This window comes from Homo sapiens, chromosome 11, assembly GCF_000001405.40.
Source record: "Homo sapiens chromosome 11, GRCh38.p14 Primary Assembly".
NCBI classification, from domain to species: domain Eukaryota; kingdom Metazoa; phylum Chordata; class Mammalia; order Primates; family Hominidae; genus Homo; species Homo sapiens.
The window spans coordinates 66,243,165-66,261,379 of NC_000011.10; the positions used below are offsets into that span (position 1 = coordinate 66,243,165).

Consider the following 18,215-nt stretch of genomic DNA (forward strand, 5'->3'; position numbering starts at 1 on the left):
TGTCCATCGATGGGGTCGAGTGGAGTGACATCAAGTTCTTCCAGCTGGCAGCCCAGTGGCCCACCCATGTCAAGCACTTTCCAGTGGGACTCTTCAGTGGCAGCAAGGCCACCTGAGGCCCTGTCTCCCAGCCACTTTCCCTCCTGGCACTGCCACCAGCCTCACCGCCTGCGGGCAGGGGGAGGCCAGCAGGCCCGGGCCCAGCACCCCTTCCCTGGCACCAGGGTCTGCCTCTCACTCGCCCAGGTCCCGAAGGACACTGCCACAGGGACGCCTTCCCTCCCCTCCCCTCCAGCCCACCCCTGCACAGCCCCTCCTCCTTCCCGCTTTTCCCCTTCTCCCTCCTGCTCCAGGCCCAAGGCGTGTTGGTTTTGCCTTCTGGTGCCCATAGTCCCCTGGACTGAGTCCCCCAGGCCTTCCTTCACCCGACTTCCAAACTCTTCCTTGTGGTATCAGTTTCCTTCTCGGAAATGAGAAAGCTGGAATCCTGGTCCCCAGCAGGAGAGCCTAGTCCTCCCCCAGCCCCTCCAGCCACCAGGGTGTCCTCTAGGATGCAGCTGCCAGATCCACTCACTCTGCTGCCTCCAGCAGGACCCAAGGCCACTTTCAACTCTTATGGGGTTCTCCACCTGCCCCAGAGCTTCTCAAGGGAGGGTAAGGGGGCACCCTGAGCCCACAGGACCCCTACTTCACAGCTCACAGGGGCAGGAGGCAGCTCCCCTGCCTCCAGGACCCTGTTGCTATGGTGACACAGCGTTTCTAGGACAGAGGGGCCTCCCAGTCTCCCCCCACCACCCGTGCACGACTTCCTCACCACCCCCAGGTTCCCTGCAGATGTCGTGTGTGTCCTGAGTGTTTCTTTGGTTCTTTGCACGCCAAGTCTCTTGGTTGTACCATGTGACACACCCTGTGCACTGGTCGCTGTCTTCGTGGCTTCCACCCTTGTTAATGATGCTCCTGCCTCTGCCTCCCAGCCCCTCACCCAGCACAGCTCTGCCTGGACTTGGAGAGATGGGAGGCAGACCCCCACCACCATACATGCTGTCTGTGGCCCCTCAGACATTCTGTTTCATCTCCCATTCATCTCCCTCCTCCCACCGTGTCAGTTTTTCTGCCTTTCCCTGCTCTGTTCTTCCCCCTCCTTAGGCCCCAGCCTGGGCCCAGACCCATCCTCCCAGCCAGGTTTCCCTCCAGCAGGCTCCTTCCCTCCCTGTCACCTCCCTCTCACCAACCCGGGGTCTGAGCCCCTCATTCCTGACCGTCCGTGTTCTCAGGAGTGGTTGAGGACACAGGGCCCCAGCCCAGCCCTCTGCACCCCCCAGCCCGGCCATCTGCGCCCCACAGCCCCTTTGGAGCTTTTCTCTTGTCCTCTCACTCCTTCCCAGAAGTTTTTGCACAGAACTTCATTTTGAAAGTGTTTTTCTCATTCTCCATACCTCCCCCAAGCTCTCCTCCAGCCCTTCCCAGGGCTCAGCCCTGCTGTCCTGAGCGTCTCCTGGGCCAGAGAGAGGAGATGGGGGTGGGAGGGACTGAGTTGATGTTGGGTTTTTCATTCAATAAATTGGTGATTTCTTACCGACTGCCTTGGGCTTCTATGCCCCCTCACTGTGCCACAGGAGCTGCCCAACCCCTTTTCCACAGTGCAGCCCAACTCCAGTGAAAATCCACCAGGAACGTAGGTGGAAAGAAGCGTACTCCCATGTTCTCAATCATGGAAACAGGCATGAAGGTGTCTCACCTGGCATGAGGCAGGCAGAGGTCGGAAACAGGAAAGATGTCATTTCCACACCAAAAGCCCGTTTTTCCCCAGGACCCACCATCCCCAAATCCACCTCCCAAGGCAGTGACGTGTTGAGTGTGGCTTCCCCATCTTCTGATCAAAGGTCAGAACTTAGCTTCTCTCCCCTGCTCCAGGTTGGTGAAGTCCGAGCCAGTGGGGTCTTTGCCTCTGCAGGTGGAGGGAATAGGGCTGAGGGACATCTGTGGAGTTCCTTTTCCTGCCCGCCCTTGACTTAGAGATGGAAAGCAGTGGTAGCCACTGTCCCCTGGGTGCCCGGTTTTTCCACTAGCTTCCAAGACAGGCCTGCACACACGAAGAAGTGTGTGCCTTCCCCATGAAGAAGTGCCCAGAGGTGGCCAGGCACAGTGGCTCACGCCTGTAATCCCAGCACTTTGGGAGGCCAAGGCAGGCGTTTTGCCCGAACTCAGGAGTTTGAGACCAGCCTGGGCAATGTGGCGAAACCCCGTCTCTACTAAAAAATATAAAAAATTGGCTGGGTGCGGTGGCTCACACCTGTAATCCCAGCACTTTGGGAGGCTGAGGTGGGTGGATCATGAGGTCAGGAGATTAAGACCATCCTGGCCAACATGGTGAAACCCCGTCCCTACTAAAAATACAAAGATTAGCTGGGTGTGGTGGCACGTGCCTGTAATCCCAGCTACTCAGGAGGCTGAGGCAGGAGAATCACTTGAACTCAGGAGGTGGAGGTTGCAGTGAGCCGAGATCGCGCCACTGTACTCCAGCCTGGCGACACAGCGAGACTCCGTCTCAAAAAAAAAAAAAAAATTTTTGCCGGGCGTGGTGGTATGTGCCTGTAATCTCAGCTACTCAGGAGGCTGAGGCACGAGAATCACTTGAACCCGGGAGGCGGAGGTTGCAGTGAGCTGAGATCGTGCCACCGCACTCCAGCCTGGACGACAGAATGAGACTCTGTCTCAAAAAAGAGAAGTGTCCAGAGGTGAAGGCTTGCAGGAGAGGCAGCGCTTGGCATCCTTGCCCTACAGGTATAGCCCCAGAGGAGTGGATGGCCATCCAGAGCTTGCTGTCACTGGCCTCAGTCTTGGGTTCCCCAAGCCCTGTGCCCAGACGACCTCACATAGAGAGGCTTGGGGACCCAGCTGTGTGGCCCTGCGCAAACTCTCTGAGCCTAGAAAATGAAAATCATACCTGCCTTCTAAATGAGGTGATAGCGGGGCTGGTGAGAGGAAAGGCCAGGAGAAGCAAATCATACCTAGTGTGACCTGGATCTAGGGTGTGAGTGTGGCTGCAGAGCAGGGTGAAGTGCCCACGAGGACTTCCCGGAGCACAGCCAGGCGAGGGCTGCAGGGCAGGAGCTGTGCAGAGCTGGGGGCCAGGGAGTTCCAGTGGAGGGGGTGGGACAAGTAGACTTGGATCCCAGCTTCTGGCCCCCTTAGGTTCTGGCTTAGAGCTAGGAGAGAGGGTGAAGGGTGAACTCTCAGCCCGTCTGCATCTGACACCATATCCTCAGCCTCCCCTTCTGTGGCAATAAATGCCCCACCCTGCTCCCATCCTCGGGGCCCATCCCTCTTCACTCCTTGAGGGCTTTTCTCCTACAGTCGCCCTCTCTCCTGCACTGCGGGTTCTCCCCTCTGCCAGGACTTTCCACCCACTTACATGCATCCCAAGTGGGTATAGCTCAATATCAAAGACCAGAGACTTCCAGATTCTCTTCAGCTGCCATGCCTTGTCTCTGCTCCCCTTAGAGCAAAACTCTTCCAAAGAGCTGTGTGTGTTCCCCGTCTCCACTTCTGCCCACTCCCTTCCAGTTTTTTCCTCACAATCCCACCAAAAGTTTCCTTTCCACAGTTGCCAGTGACCTGGGTTGCCCAGTCCTATCAGTAGCATTGGATGCAAATAATCACCCGCTTGAGTCTTTCCACCTGGCCTGTGGACAGCTCTGTGCTCTCCTCTCACCTCCCTGGCCTCTCCTTTTTGGCCTCCCTTGCTATGGTGTCCTCAGCTTCCCAGCCTCAAAACCCTGGAGGACTCGGGGCTCCAGCCTCTAATATAGCCTCCTCTCTCCCCACACTCAGCCCTAAAGGGAGCTCACTCGGCCCCATGGTGTGAAATGTGCTCCCCTGGGGAGACTTCCCTCCTAGTAAATGCAAACTCGGTTCTTCAGTTCCGAGGCCGAAAACTGGGGAATCCTCCTCGATTCCTGTTTCTCTTGTACCCACCATCTAATCCATGAGCAAATCCTCCAGGCTTATCCTGACAGTGCCTTGCCCCTTCCTCTACTGCGATTATCTCTTGTCTGGATATTGCAATAGGCTCCTAATTATCCCTGCTCCCACCCTCTTCTCCCTGTAGCCTGTTCTCCACTCAATAGCCAGAGATTTTTCAGAGCTGAGCAGATCGTGTTGGATTGCTGATCCAAACTGTGCAGAGTGTCCCACCTACCTAGGTGTGTAAGCTGAAGCCTTACCTGTGAGGGGCCCACATGGTCTGATCTCCCAGGAGCTGCTGGATCTTAATTCCTCTTACGCTTCCCCTCCTCACTGGCCTCTCAACATTCCTCAAACACCACTCAGCCTCAGGGCCTTTGCACGGACCTTTGGTCCTGTCCATCCTGCTGCTGCCCTCAGGCCCGTGTGGCTTGCTCCATCATTCAGGTCTTGGCTGAAATGTCACCTCAGGAGGCCTTCCCTTCTCCAACCCCTCTTTTTTTTTTTTCTTACTCATATTTCCCACTCCTTGGCATTAATTATTCATTTGTCTCTCCCACAAGAATGCAAGCTCCAAGAAAAGAGGAAATGTTTTTCCCTGTTGTATCCTTGGCACCCAAAATACTGCTTGGCCCATCACAGGTGCACAATAAATACTCGTTTGCAGAATGAAGTTCCCTCTTGCTGCTGGAATTGGGTTCCAAATCCAGATGTGCTACTCAAGACATTTTAACTGATGCCTTAGCCCAAAAGACACCTGGGTTTTCTCATAGGCTCAGAAGTAAGAAGATAGACTCCTACCCCGGGCAAAGAAGAGGAAATCAGCTGTGTAGGGACAGTTTGGAGCACAAGGCAACTCAGGTGGAAGGTGCTGACTCAGACCCTGAAGCAGCTGTGCCCAGTCACCAGGAGTTAAGGCTGGACCAGAGCAGAGCTGCCCAAGGTCCGCCAGAGACTAAAGGCTTTTTGATGCAGAAAGTGGAAGAGCCTCTATCTAACCTGCACGCCAACTCCAGACTGGTTTTATTTTTAAGTAAACTATTTTAGAATACCTTTAGATTTATGGAAAAGTTGCAAAAATAGTAGAAAGAGTGGCTATATACCGCCCTGCCAGTTTCCCTTACTGTTAACATGTTACATTCATGTGCATTTGTCATAACTAGTGAGTCAATCGTGATGCACGATTATTAACTAAAGTCCCTATTTTGGCCGGGCACGGTGGTTCACTCCCATAATCACAGCACTTGGGGAGGCTGAAGCAGGTGGATCATCTGAGGTCAGGAGTTCAAGACCAGCCTAGCCAATGTGGTGAAACCCCATCTCTACTAAAAATACAAAAATTAGCCAGGCGTGGTGGGCACCTGTAATCGCAGCTACTCGGGAGGCTGAGGCAAGAAAATCGCTTGAACCCGGGAGGCGTAGGTTGCAGTGAGCCAAGATTGCACCACTGCACTCCAACCTGGGCGACAGAGTGAGACTCTTTCTCAAATAAATAAATAAATGTCCCTATTTTATGCATGTCCTTAGTTTTTCCCTAATGTCCTTTCTCCATTTCAGACTCCCACCCAGAATGCCACACTACGTTTGGTCATTCTGTCTTCTTTTTTGTTGTTGATTTTAGAGACCAGGTCTTGCTCTGTTGCCCAGGCTGGAGTGCAGTGGTGCCAACCTAGTTCACTGCAGCCTGGAACTCCTGGGCTCAAGCCATTCTCCTACCTCAGCCTTCTGGGTATCTGGGACTACAGGCATGTGTCATTACACCTGGCTCTTTGTTTTGTTTTGTTTTCTTTCGTTTTTTTTGGTAGAGATAGGGTCTTGAACTGACCTCAGTTATCGATCCTCCTACCTTGCCTCCCAAAGTGCTAGGATTACAGGCGTGAACCAACACATCCAGCCCATTCTGCCTTCTTAGGATCCTTTGGGCTGTGACATTTTCTTAGACTTTTTGATCTCTATTTTTGATGACCTTGACAGTTTTGAGGAGTATTGGTCAGGCATTTTGTAGAATGTCCCTCAGTTGGGGATTGTCTGATGTTCTTCTCGTGGCTGGATGGAGGTTATAGGTTGTGGGGAGGAAGACCTCAAAGGTGAATGCCCTTCTCAGCGCAGCCTGTGAAGGGCACATGCCGTCAACATGACATCATGGATGAGGTTGACCTGGGCTCCTCACTGTAAAGTCCCACACACCTGCTCCCATGCTGTTCTCTTTGGAAGGAAGTTGCTGGTGCAGCCCACACTCGGGTGAGGTGTTGATTATCCCTACATGCATCATCTGGGATTCTGCTGTACAGGAGGTTTCAGACTAATCTTTAAACTGCTTCTTTCGCCACCCCTTTCACCTGCCGTGTCCAAGGACTGACAGCATTAATAGCTGTCACCGTCACCTACAGGGCATTGCCTTTGAGCCAGGCTGCTGCTGAGTGCCTTATATGGTTTATTTCATCGAGTCCTTAAAGCAGCCCTCCCTGTGAAATCAATTCTGCTGATGCTTCCTTTTGCAAAGGAGGAAACCAAAGGTCAGAGCCTCCCCTCCCAACTCTAGAGCCTCCCATCTAACCACTTATGTTGCGACCTGAACACTCACAGTCATCCCAGACTTCACATGGCCAAAGCAAGACTCCTGATTTCCCTTGATCTTCCCCAGTCGGCAATGGCACCAGCCTCCATCCTGTTACTCCAGCCAGAAACCCGGACTCATCCTGCGCCGCCCCTCCCAATCCATCAGCAACTCTTGTCCATGCTGCCTCCCAAACGCTGTTTCCAACTATAAGCCAGGGTACCTTCCTCGCATAGAGTATCCTTTGTCGTCCTATCCTCCCAGTGCCCTCTGAATAGAGGCCAACCACCGTCCACCAGGCCCGTGGTCTGGCTCACTACCTTCACTTCTAGTTGCTTTCCCCCTGCCATGCTCACCACCCTCGAGCCACACCTGACCTTTCAGTGCTCACATCCCTCTTCCAACCCCAGAGTAAGCTCCTTTTCCTTTAAGATGTGGCCTTTGTATCACCTCCTCCAAGAGCCTTCCCCAACCACCCCACCCAAAGCCTGGTTGTTAGCCTCTGTCTCTTCAGTCATAGAGTTCACTATTACCTGCAGCAAATGTCTCTGTACCACATTCGAATGAGAGCTCCAGGAGGACAAAGACCCGAGCCGCCGGACTCATTGTTGCAGTATCCAGCACCCTGGCATGCGGCGGACCCTCGATAAAGGTTGGTTCAGTGCATGAGTGAGGGTTAAGTCACTCGTCCAATGCACACATATCGGCTGAGAAGAGGTCAGGTTTCTAAACCCCATCATCTGACTCAGGCCATATCTCAGGGCCCTACTCAGATCCCATCTTCCCAACCATCCATACATCTGGCTTTTATTAACTTCCTACTAGTTCGTGTCCTAGGTACAGCATGAACCTAGGTTGGGTCCCAACCTATACAGGAACGCTAAGGCCAGTAGGGGAGACAAGCAGACCATCGCCACACAGCATGACAGGTTGCACTGGTGCACACAGGAGGGATGTCCACCCTGCAGGAAGAGGTGTCCAAGAAGATGTCCCAAAGGGAATGACACCTGAGTGGCATACTGAAGACATCTGACAAGGATGGATGTTCTGGGCATAGGAAGTAGCATGAGATAAGGGAGATAAGAGAGATAAGGGAGAATGTGGCTGATGCCAAGAACCACACAGGGCTCAGTGCAGCTGGAGACCATGGGGATGGTGAGTGCCAGTGGGAGCGGAGGAAGAGTCTAGGCCCTGAGGAACCTCGTAGCTGTTACTGTTACCACTGTGAGCCAGAGCAAGGACTGCACACTCTGTCCTGAGAGACAGGGGAGCTGGCGAAGGGACCTAGGCAGAGAAGTGAGACGACATATTTCAGAAAGATCTCCTTAATACAACACACCGGGAGAAACAAGACCTGCTCTGCAGACCAGCAGATGAGCTTGAAGGGTGCAGCAGCCATTTAGAAAAGATGTGATGAGGACATTGTAAAGGTGGAAGGGTTAGAGGGAAATAGATAAATCTGAGAGCGACTTAAGAGGTTGAATTAATAGGTTTTGGTAGCTGGTTAGAAAACGAGAGTTGAGGCCGGGCATGGCGGCTCATGCCTGTAATCCCAGCACTCTGGGAGACCAAGGCAGACAGATCACTTGAGGTCAGGAGTTTGAGACCAGTCTGGCCAACATGGTGAAACCCTGTCTCTACTAAAAATACAAAAATTAACCGGGCATAGTGGCGGGCACCTGTAATCCCAGCTACTTGGGAAGCTGAGCCACAAGAATCGCTTGAACCTGAGAGGCAGAGGTTGCGGTGTGCCAAGATCGCGCCACTGCACTCCAGCCTGGGCAGGCGACAGAGTGAGACTCCGTCTCAAAAAAAGAGGCCTGGCATGGTGGCTCAGCACCTTGGGAGGCCGAGGCGGGCAGATCACCTGAGGTCAGGAGTTCGAAACCAGCCTGACCAACATGGTGAAACCCCGTCTCTACTAAAAATACAAAATTAGCCAGGCATGGTGGCGCATGCCTGTAATCCCAGCTACTCAGGAGGCTGAAGCAGGAAAATCACTTGAACCCTGGTAGCAGAGGTTACAGTGAGCCGAGACAATGCCATTGCACTCCAGCCTGGGCAACAAGAGTGAAACTCCATCTCAAAAAAAAGAAAACAGAGTTGAAAGAGAGTCCAGGACAGACTGACTGTCCTGTGTGAACATCCCTGCAGGAGATTTGGACAGGACTTAGTGCTATTCCAACTGGAAGTGGAATATATGGGTCTGGGTAGAGCTCAGGGGACTGATCTGGGCCAGAGATGGAGATGTGGGCCTCCCCACCGTGTGGGAGAGCTGACGCTGGGGAGAGGTGAGCTCATCCCTCGCTGGGCTCATCTCCTTCCTGATCACATGGGCACCTACGGTCCACACTACACAGCTCACGCTTGCTTCTATTCAGTCTCTGCCGCCTCATTTGTGGCTCACCTTCATTCTGAGTGCATCTCTGTCCAACAACACTGCAGGCAGAAGCTGCCCCGTATTTCTCATTCTTTTCCCACACCTTGCACTCAGGGTCTGTTGACTACTAAGCTTGATGGTGATGAGAATAAACAACCACTAGGAATAGTGTCTGTTATGTACAAGGCCTAATGTTAAGCCTTTATGCCTTTTTTGTTTGTTTGTTTTTGGTTTTTGAGACAGAGTCTCGCTCTGTCCCCCAGGCTGGAGTGCAGTGGCGCGATCTCGGCTCACCGCAAGCTCCGCCTCCCGGGTTCGCGCCATTCTCCTGCCTCAGCCTCCCGAGCCACCATGCCCGGCTAATTTTTTGTATTTTTAGTAGAGACGGGGTTTCACCATGTTAGCCAGGATGGTCTCGATTTCCTGACCTCGTGATCCCCCCGCCTCGGCCTCCCAAAGTGCTGGGATTACAGGCGTGAGCCACCGTGCCCAGCCCCTTTATGCCATTTTATTGCATTCTCTGGATGTCCCAACAAAGTAGGTAATAGGAACCCTGCTTTACAGATGAGGAAGCAGGTAAAATAACAGACCATGCCTAAAAAGCGACACCACTAGCAAATGGAGAAACGCGGCTTTGAACTTAGCTGAGTCTGACCCCAAGGCCTGCGGTCCCTCCACTGAGCAGGGCAGGACCGGTCTACCCTGGCTGGGAGGTCACAAGGAAGAGAGGGTGCAGATTTGCCATAAGGCCACAGGACAGGAACCAGGAGCCTCTGGGGACAGCTTTGAGTAGACTGATTCTTGGCTCAGTGGCAGAAAGAACCAACAACTAGTGGTGTCCAAGGTAGACAAGGGCCCCTCAGGAAGCTCAGGAAGCTGGGGAGACATGGTCTTTAAGGAGCCTCCCATCTTGAGCACTTATGGGTGAATGTGCTGACTTTTTTTTTTTTTTTTTTTTTGAGACAGAGTCTCACTCTGTCGCCCAGGCCTCTCAGGTTCAAGCAATTCTCCTGCCTCAGCCTCCCAAGTAGCTGGGACTACAGGCAAGAGCTACCACACCTGGCTAATTTGTTGTATTTTTAGTAGAGACAGGGTTTCACCATGTTGGCCAGGCTAGTCTCAAACTCCTGACCTCAAGTGATCCGCCCATCTCGGCCTCCCAAAGTGCTGGGATTACAGACGTGGGCCACTGTGCCCGGCCATATCTGCTGACATTTCAAGTGGGACGACAGCCTTGGCAAAAGTGCCCCAGCCACTTCAGAGAAAGGGAGGGAATCTAGCCAAAAGAAAAAGAATAATTTAAGAAAGCAGATTTCAGTGGGACGAGGGCTTCTGAGGATCTAAAGGGATGCAGTAGGAGAAGTGGGAGTGATTTTCAGGGAGGAAACAGTAATATTAAAAGTAGCAAGAACAACTTCCCAGGCATGGGATGGCAGGGGGCTGCTGAGCACTGTGGAAAGAGCATAAGGAGCTGAATCACCACTGGGCATGGATTTCTTCCTTTATTCTCCATTTACTGAGTGCCCATCAGCAGCCTGGCATGAGATCAGCAGCTGCTGGAGGAGCACAGGACAGTGCAGGATGAAGTAACAGTCTCTTCCTTTGGGAGACACACAGTGCAATCCTCAGAGACAAGATAAAAAGCCAAGTGGCTGAAAGGGCCGAACACATGCGAGGCTAAGCGACAAGAGAATGAGAACCAGCAGGGAAGGCCCAGCCTTCCCCCACCAGCACACCGGGCGGAGCAGCCAGCGCCTAAGGAGAATCCCAAAGGAACCACTGAAGCCCACAGATGGTGAGCAGAACAATTGGAGCCAGGAACCTGCACAAGTCACAAAGGGAGATTGAGAAGTGTTCTCTCCATTTACCGGGAAAAAGGTGATAAAATAAATGTGCTCCTTGGCCGGGCGCAGTGGCTCACGCCTGTAATCCCAACACTTGGGGAGGCTGAGGCGAGTGGATCACCTGAGGTCAGGAGTTTGAGACCAGCCTGGCCAACAAAAAATTAGCCAGGTGTGGTGGCAGGCGCCTGTAATCCCAGCTACTCGGGAGGCTGAGGCAGGAGAATGGCGTGAACCTGGGAGGCAGAGGTTGCAGTGAGCTGAAATTGCACCACTGCGCTCCTGCCTGGGGAACACAGCAAGGCTCTGTCTCAAAACAAACAAACAAACAAAAAAGCCCATTGAGCCCGGTGCAGCCGCCTTTCACTTCTCTGAGCCTCAGTTTCTTCACCTGCAAAACAGAGACACTGAAACAGCACTTTCAATCCAGGGCGCACAGCACAGGCACCACTTAAGCTTTAAAGCCACAAGAGGCGGCCGGGCTCCGTGGCTCACACCTGTAATCCCAGCACTTTGGGAGGCCGAGGTGGGATGATCGCTTGATCCCAGTAGTTCAAGAACAGCCTGGGCAACATATGGACAGCCCATCTCTACAAAAAATAAAAATTAGCTGGGCATGGTGAGCACCTGCCTGTAGTCCCAGCTACTCAAGAGGCTGAGGCGGGAGGATCACTTGAGCCCAGGAGTTCAAGGCTGCAGTGAACTATGATTGTGGCACTGCACTGCACCCTGGGTGACAGTGGGACCTCGGCTCTTAAAAAAAAAAAAAAAAAAAAGTCCACTTTGGGAGGCCAAGGTGGGCGGATCATGGTAAATGGTAAATGGTAAAAATAATGGTAAAACCCTATCTCTACTAAAAACACAAAAATTAGCCAGTGTGGTGGCATGCGCCTGTAGTCCCAGCTACTTGGAAGGCTGAGGCAGAAGAATCGCTTGAACCCAGGAGGCAGAGGTTGCAGTGAGCCAAGATTGCACCACTGCACTCCAGCCTGGGCGACAGAGCATGACTCCATCTCAAAAAAAAAAAAGTCCCAAGAGGTGCCCAGGATTCACCCTGGCACCACCAAATCTCAATCTCTAGAGGGAAAGCCTTCTAAGAAAGTTATTTCTCAAAAGATTTTGAAACCCAGTGTCATGAAGAACAAAAGTGCCTTGTGCTCCATATTCTGTTTCCTCCCTGTGAACAGAACATGCTGGGCAGGTGGGAGTCCAGTCATGGTCGGATGTAGTCTCTATGCACAGAGGCAGACTTACCAAAATGCAATCAGTGCAACATATATGTAGGTATATATTTTGAGACAGGGTCTGGCTTTGCCGCCCAGGCTGGAGTTCAGTGGCATGATGTTATTTCTGCTCACTGCAACCTCCACCTCCTGGCTTGAGCCATCCTCCCACCTCAGCCTCCTGAGTTGCTAGGACTACAGGTACACACCACCATGCCTAGCTAGTTTTTGTATTTTTGTAGAGATGGGGTTTCACCATGTTGCCCAGGCTAGTCTTGAACTTCTGAGCTCAAGCAATCTGCCCGCCTTGGCCTGACAAAGTGCTGGGATTACAGGTGTGAGCCACTGAGCCCAGCCCAACCAGTGGCAATATATCTGGAAAATAAGGCCAATGTGAGGGCTGAAGGATCACAGATCCCAAACGCAACAGACCCCAACCTCAGGGGCCCTGGAGGAAAATTGACCAGCTGAAATGGACAAGGATAAACACAAGCTCAGCACTGATGCAAATAACATAATCAATGGACATAAGAAACAACAGAAGTTGCTTCCGGAGAGGGGGGCTGGATGGCTGAGGACAGCAGTCACAGAGATAACTACATTTCATTGTAACTTGCTTGTTTGCCTTTTTTTTTTTTAGTTTTTTTTTTTTGAGACAGAGTCTGTCTCTGTCACCCAGGCTGGAGTGCAGTGGTGCCATCTCAGCTCACTGCAACCTCCGCCTCCCGGGTTCAAGCGATTCTCTTGCCTCAGCCTCTCCAGTAGCTGGGACTACAGGCGTGCGCCACCACGCACAGCTAATTTTTGTATTTTTAGTAGAGACAGGGTTTCACTATATTGGTCAAGCTGGTCTCAAACTCCTGACCTCAGATGATCCACCTGCCTCAGCCTCCCAAAGTGTTGGGATTACAGGTGTGAGCCACTGAGCCCAGTCTTTGTATGTCTTTTGAATGTTGCACAAATGAAAGTATCTGCTATCCGGAAAAAAATCATTCCAGTCACGGTGTCTCATGCCTGTAATCCCAGCACTTTGGGAGGCCGAGATGGAGGACTACTTGAGACCAGCCTGGGCAACATATTGAGACCCTGTCTCTAAGAAAATAAATTGGAAAAAAAAAAAAGCCAGGTGTAGTGGCATGCACTTGTAGTCCTAGCTTCTTGGGAGGCTATGATGGGAAGATTTTGTGAGCCCAAGAGTTTGAGGTTACAGGCTGGGCCGAGGCCAAGGTGAGTGGATCACCTGAGGTCAGGAATTTGAGACCATCCTGGCCAACATGGTGAAACCCGTATCTACTAAAAATACAAAAAATTAGCTAGGTGTGGTGGTGGGTGCTATAATCTCAGCTACTGGAGAGGTTGAGGCAGGAGAATTGCTTGAACCCTGGAGGCAGAGGTTGCAGTGAGCCAAGATCGTGCCACTGCACTCCAGCCTGGGAGACAGACTCCATCTCAAAAAGAAAAAAAGGAGTTTAAGGTCACAGTGAGCTATGATCACACCAGTGCACACCAGCTTGGATGATAAAGTAAGAACCTGTCACTTAAAAAAAACCATTGGCAGAGCACAGGTTTGAGAAGAACCTGGTTGGATGTAACTGAGATGTGTAAAATAGAGGGTCTTCACTTGTGTCAAAGGCAGCCTGATTTACAGCTTTTTTTTTGTGGACAGGTGGCATCCTTATTATGGGGGGACGTCCCTCTGATCTTTGCAGTTCATTCCTTGTCTCTGGTCACTGGGCCCTGGGCTGATCACCACCTTCTGAGCAGGACCCAGACGGACAAGCTAGACTACACCCAGAAAGGAGAAATTGGGATGGGGAAGGGTCAGGAAACTGCGGTAGGACTGAGTGAAGGGACCAGGGGCAGCCCAGGGAAGAGATGAGACCACGCGGGGCACCATCGCTGTCTCCAAATACCTTAACTGACACAAGGGAGCAGCCTTCTTTCTGAAGACAGAGCTAGGGCTGTGGATGAGCACTGCAGGAAGGCACTTCGGGGTCTATCAGAGGAAATTTTTGCTAACCTTCCGAGTTGTCTCAGAGCCAAACGTAGTAAGCTACCTGTCACCGGATGTGCTTGAGCTAAGGGCGCTGAACCACCTCTGTCAGAGACGGTGCATCCCCCACCGGATGTGACCCCGGGATGCGGAGCCTGGGGTCAGATCTGCGAGCCAGATAACAGCGGCACTCACTTCTCGGGTCTTCGTGAGCATTAAGTCAATGAACCCAGGGCACCAAAGCGCGCAACACGCAGTAGGCGCTCAGTTAGTGGCGCCTCGCTCTGTACTCCAGGAAGCCCAACCTTCTCCCTGCGCCTCAGTTTCTCCCGACGTCCTCGATGGCGCCATGGCGCCACACTAGGTACCTTCGGGTTCGACCTCCCGAGCAGCTCCACACGCTGAGGCCCCGCGGCATTTTGCGGCCGAGGGCACCCCTCGGGGCTGGCGGGCCCTGGGAACTGCGCCCCGGGCGGGTCCTCGCACCGCCCCCGCCTCGATGGCCCCGCCCCGTCCCCCTCCCGCTGGAGCCGGCCCGGCCCGCGCTCCTTTAAGGCAGCGAACGGGCCAAGAGAAGCGTGTTTCGCCCCCTCCGACGCCACCGAGGTAGCGGCTTCACCTTTAAGGCGGCGCGGGGGCTGCTGGGAAGGCCGGCGGGATGGAGGCGGCGGGACCGGCTCGCGGGTGCGGGTCCGGGTGAAGCGGGAGGCAGCCAGAGTCGGAGCCGGGCCCGAGCACCAGGCGCAGGTCGGCGCGGGCCGATTGGGCCGGGAGACGGGGTCAGGCCCTAAAGCGGGGGAGGAGACTCCGGGTCGGCCTAGGGGAGGGGGTCGTCATGGGCGCGGCCTGTGGGAGGATCGGGCCAGCCCTGGTAGGGGGCGCGGTCCCGGGTGGCCCGGGGCGGGGGCGCGGCCTTTTCAGGGAAGGCCTCAGGGCGTTGCGCTGGCCTAGGGGAGGGGTCGTCGTGGGCGTAGCCTGGAAGGACTGGGGGCCGCGTACTCAGCCCCTCTAGTGGGAGCGCCTCCGCAGGGTCGGCTCGTCGGGAGGATGGGCTCCGCGGCTTGGCCTGCCTTTTGGGGATGGGGCTGTCCGAGGGGCTGGGCCCGGATCGCCGGAGGGGCCAGGGTCTCCTGCACAGGAGTGAGCCCCCACGTTCCCCATACCTGTCCTGGTTAGGGGGTCCCCGGGGAAACCCGGACACTGAGCCGCCTAAGTCGGCCTGAGCCGGTGGTCTGGGGCCGAAGCAGGATCCGGCTGCACCGCATTGCGTCTCCCAGGCCTAGACAAGCTAGGCGCGCCCTCTGTAGGCCAAGCGCGGGCACGGTGCGGGCTGCCGGCTGGGGGACCTGGGCACACGGGAGACTCAGGCGTCCGGGGACCGCCTGTTTACCTAATCCGGGGCGGACGGCGGTGTGGCCCCAGGCCCGGCGCCCGCCTGCCCGCACCCTCGTCCTCACAGACGCCACAGCCATGGCCATGATGGTGTTTCCGCGGGAGGAGAAGCTGAGCCAGGATGAGATCGTGCTGGGCACCAAGGCTGTCATCCAGGGACTGGAGACTCTGCGTGGGGAGCATCGTGCCCTGCTGGCTCCTCTGGTTGCACCTGAGGCCGGCGAAGCCGAGCCTGGCTCGCAGGAGCGCTGCATCCTCCTGCGTCGCTCCCTGGAAGCCATTGAGCTTGGGCTGGGGGAGGCCCAGGTAGGTCAGTCTGGGGCACTGAGGTGGGAGGTCACTGGAGGGATCGAGCCTTCAAGAGGAATCCGGTAATGTAGGAGAAGAATCTGAGCAGGGAACCGTCTGTTTCCTGGAGCCCCATGTTAGGACCCCAGTAAATACCTTTTGAAGAAATAAATGCACTTTGGCGACCCCAGCCCTGCCCTAAGAGACCATGATCACCCTTGCCCCCACGCAGAGCCCCATTTCCGGCTCCCCTCTACCTAAGGGAGACTGGATGGCATATGAGAACAGAAAGAAAATCCTTAAGGAAACATAGCCTCCCACCAATTAATTCTTCTATTCACTCGTTAACAGATGAGTTATTGAGGGCCAGCCAGGGTGTTAGGTGGATACAGGGCCCAACAAAATAGACAAGATTCCTGCCCTATTAGAGACAAAAACACACATACAGAAATAATTGGTTGTTACAAATTGTGATGAGTTCTGCAGAGAAAAGAACAAGATTTTATGATAGCTCGCAGCAGCGAGTCTTGTCTACTGGTCAGGCAGGACTTCTGTGAGGAAATGACAAACTGAAACCTGAGGGAAGAAATGAACCAGCCTCCAGGAAAGGGAGGCAGGGGAGAAGTTGCATGTGCAAAGGTCCTGGGGTAGGAAAGAGCTTGTGGTGGAGGAACTCAGGGAAGAACTGTGTGACTGGAGCTTCATGGAAGGGAGACAGGGACAGAAGAGGCCTGGGGAGAAGCCAAGAACCAGATCATGGCCTGGTTGGTTTGGGTTTTATTCTCAGGAAATCAGAAAGCCTCTGGAGGGCTTTAAGCAGGCAGGCAACACAGTCTGACTTGAGTTTCTAAAAACTCTCTCTGGCTGAGATGTGGAGAATAAACCTCAGTGGGTCGAGGATGGAATCACTCTCCAATGAGTGGTTAGGAAGCCACTGCTGGAATTCAAATGAGAGCTGGTGCTTGGAATTAAGGGGTGGCTATGACGGTGGAGAAAAGGGACCAGTTCTGGATGTTCTGGAGGTAGGTCCAGCAAGACCTGGGGGTGGAATAAGGGAGAGAGAGAGGAAGGCAGCATCACTCCCAAGTTTGTGATTTAAGCAAATTAAGGGAGGAGAGGGCCTTGGTGGATCAGAACTCTGTTTTGGCCTCCTTTAATTGAGGCTGCCAGGATGATATGCAGTTGGAGATGTCCAGGAGCCATTGGGATGTACAAGGAGTTAGACTTGTTTTATTCCCCTCAGAGCTTGGCTGAGCCCCTGCCTGGCACGTGAACCCTGGGGAAGTTGTATCATTTTGGTTTCCTTGTCTTTAAAATAGGGATCATGCCATCTGCTGTGTACACTTCCAGGCTGTTGGGGGAATTTTTTTTTTTTTTTAAAGCTAGTGGTTATGGAAACACCTGTCACTTAGGCATTTGCTAACCAACAACAAAGTACAGGGTCTCAGACAGCCTGGCCCTCTGCAAGGACATTCACTCCCTGCCAGTTGGCCGTCAGAGGTAGAGAGGACCACTCAGGGGCCGCACACCTGGTGGAGCACGTGCACTCTCACAGAGGGGGAACAATCTGCACGGAGGGCATGGGCATCAAGGCCATGTGTGAAGCTGGAGCAAAGTGGGAGGTGTGACTAGCTGGAGACACAACTGCAGAAATGATCCTGAACCGGGAAGGACTGGGAAAGGGTGGAGGCCGGGTGTGGTGGCTCACGCCTGTAATTCCAGCACTTTGGGAGGCCCAGGTGGGAAGACTGCTTAAATCCCGGACTTCATGAGACCCTGTATCTACAAAAAATAATTTTTCTTTTTTTTTTTGAGACAGTCTTGCTCTGTTGCCCAGGCTGGAGTATAGTGGCACGATCTCAGCTCACTGCAGCCTCTGCCTCTCAGGTTCAAGTGATTCTCCTGCCTCAGCCTCCTGAGTAGCTGGGACTACAGGCACGCGCCACCACACCCAGCTAATTTTTGTATTTTTGGTAGAGATGGGGTTTCACCATGTTGGCCAGGATGGTCTTGAAATCCTGACCTCGTGATCTGTCCGCCTCAGCCTCCTGAAGTGCTAGGATTACAGGCGTGAGCCACCGTGCCTGGCCAAAAAATTTTTTAAATTAGCCAGCTGTGGTGGTGTGCACCCGTAGTCCCAGTTACTCAGGAGGCTGAGGGGGAAGGACCACTTGAGCCTGGAAGGTAGAGGCTGCAGTGAGCTGTGACGGTGCCATAGCCCTTCGGCCCAGGTGACAGAGTGAGACATTGTCTTAAATTAAAAAAAAAAAAAAAAAAGAGAGAGCAAGAAGGGAGGTTGGACCCTAGGCAGGAAGGCAGGAAGAGACTGGAAACTAAGGAAAGGAGTTGCAGAGGCTGGGGAGAGGGGTGGGGGTTGAGGCCAAGGCCTTTGGATACTTTTCCTGCCCCTGTGGCTCCTCATGCCAACTGAGCATTTGGGACACATGCCCCTTCCCTACCTGGGAGCTGCAGAAAGGCAGGGGATGCTGTGGCCCCTCAGCAGAAGTGGGGATGGAGTCTTTGGGTGGTCCTTCAGCCATCTAGCAGAGTTCTGTGGGCAAGCGCTAGCCCTGAG

General features: G+C 53.7%; 3 protein-coding genes and 1 long non-coding RNA gene across 17 annotated transcripts in view, besides 5 other annotated features; 2 read left to right on the plus strand and 2 right to left on the minus strand.

Moving 5' to 3' along the window:
- PACS1 (phosphofurin acidic cluster sorting protein 1) overlaps nucleotides 1-1,580 on the plus strand; it is a 174,473-nt gene extending 172,893 nt beyond the window's left edge. For all 3 annotated transcript variants that reach the window (NM_018026.4, XM_011545164.3, XM_011545162.2), the window contains exon 24: nucleotides 1-1,580. In NM_018026.4, coding sequence (NP_060496.2) covers nucleotides 1-116 — 116 coding nt within the window. In that variant the 3' untranslated portion in view covers nucleotides 117-1,580.
- KLC2 (kinesin light chain 2) overlaps nucleotides 774-18,215 on the plus strand; it is a 23,923-nt gene continuing 6,481 nt past the window's right edge. For 3 of the 11 annotated variants that reach the window (NM_001318734.2, XM_005274184.1, NM_001134774.2), the window contains exons 1-2: nucleotides 14,539-14,707; nucleotides 15,420-15,658. In NM_001318734.2, coding sequence (NP_001305663.1) covers nucleotides 15,431-15,658 — 228 coding nt within the window. In that variant the 5' untranslated portion in view covers nucleotides 14,539-14,707; nucleotides 15,420-15,430. Of the gene's footprint in view, nucleotides 7,176-14,123; nucleotides 14,325-14,538; nucleotides 14,708-15,382; nucleotides 15,659-18,215 lie in introns of those variants that run through there. The other 8 variants (NM_022822.3, XM_024448657.1, XM_005274183.2 and 5 more) reach the window with 5 other exon arrangements.
- On the minus strand, nucleotides 1,546-14,423 carry LOC124902694 (uncharacterized). Of its 2 annotated transcripts, none has more exons than XR_007062737.1 (3): nucleotides 14,156-14,423; nucleotides 3,012-3,209; nucleotides 1,546-1,948 (listed from the first exon to the last, which is right to left on the minus strand). XR_007062737.1 is itself a non-coding variant. In XM_047427981.1 (3 exons), the coding sequence occupies exons 1-3, from the start codon at nucleotides 14,376-14,378 to the stop codon at nucleotides 1,885-1,887; spliced, it is 312 nt and encodes a 103-aa protein (XP_047283937.1). In that variant the 5' UTR covers nucleotides 14,379-14,423; the 3' UTR covers nucleotides 1,546-1,884. The 2 variants fall into 2 exon arrangements, 1 of the variants encoding a protein (XP_047283937.1); XM_047427981.1 differs by having other exon boundaries at nucleotides 14,329-14,423.
- Nucleotides 10,428-10,929: an enhancer, noted in NCBI's record as "H3K4me1 hESC enhancer chr11:66021063-66021564 (GRCh37/hg19 assembly coordinates)". NCBI's record gives its function as "activates a minimal SCP1, AML or CMV promoter by ChIP-STARR-seq in naive H9 embryonic stem cells {active_cell/tissue: H9 hESC(naive)}" and the evidence as "EXISTENCE:reporter gene assay evidence [ECO:0000049][PMID:30033119]".
- Nucleotides 14,351-14,960: a silencer, noted in NCBI's record as "silent region_3581". NCBI's record gives its function as "represses an Ori minimal core promoter by ATAC-STARR-seq in GM12878 lymphoblastoid cells {active_cell/tissue: GM12878}" and the evidence as "EXISTENCE:reporter gene assay evidence [ECO:0000049][PMID:35858748]".
- Nucleotides 15,137-16,105: an enhancer, noted in NCBI's record as "H3K27ac-H3K4me1 hESC enhancer chr11:66025772-66026740 (GRCh37/hg19 assembly coordinates)". NCBI's record gives its function as "activates a minimal SCP1, AML or CMV promoter by ChIP-STARR-seq in naive H9 embryonic stem cells {active_cell/tissue: H9 hESC(naive)}" and the evidence as "EXISTENCE:reporter gene assay evidence [ECO:0000049][PMID:30033119]".
- Nucleotides 15,251-15,500: a silencer, noted in NCBI's record as "silent region_3582". NCBI's record gives its function as "represses an Ori minimal core promoter by ATAC-STARR-seq in GM12878 lymphoblastoid cells {active_cell/tissue: GM12878}" and the evidence as "EXISTENCE:reporter gene assay evidence [ECO:0000049][PMID:35858748]".
- Nucleotides 15,631-15,710: an enhancer, noted in NCBI's record as "active region_5038". NCBI's record gives its function as "activates an Ori minimal core promoter by ATAC-STARR-seq in GM12878 lymphoblastoid cells {active_cell/tissue: GM12878}" and the evidence as "EXISTENCE:reporter gene assay evidence [ECO:0000049][PMID:35858748]".
- The window catches only part of KLC2-AS1 (KLC2 antisense RNA 1), a 6,120-nt gene continuing 4,307 nt past the window's right edge, over nucleotides 16,403-18,215 (minus strand). The window contains exon 6 of the long non-coding RNA NR_186327.1: nucleotides 16,403-16,678. This is a non-coding gene — a long non-coding RNA (KLC2 antisense RNA 1). The remainder of the gene's footprint in view (nucleotides 16,679-18,215) is intronic.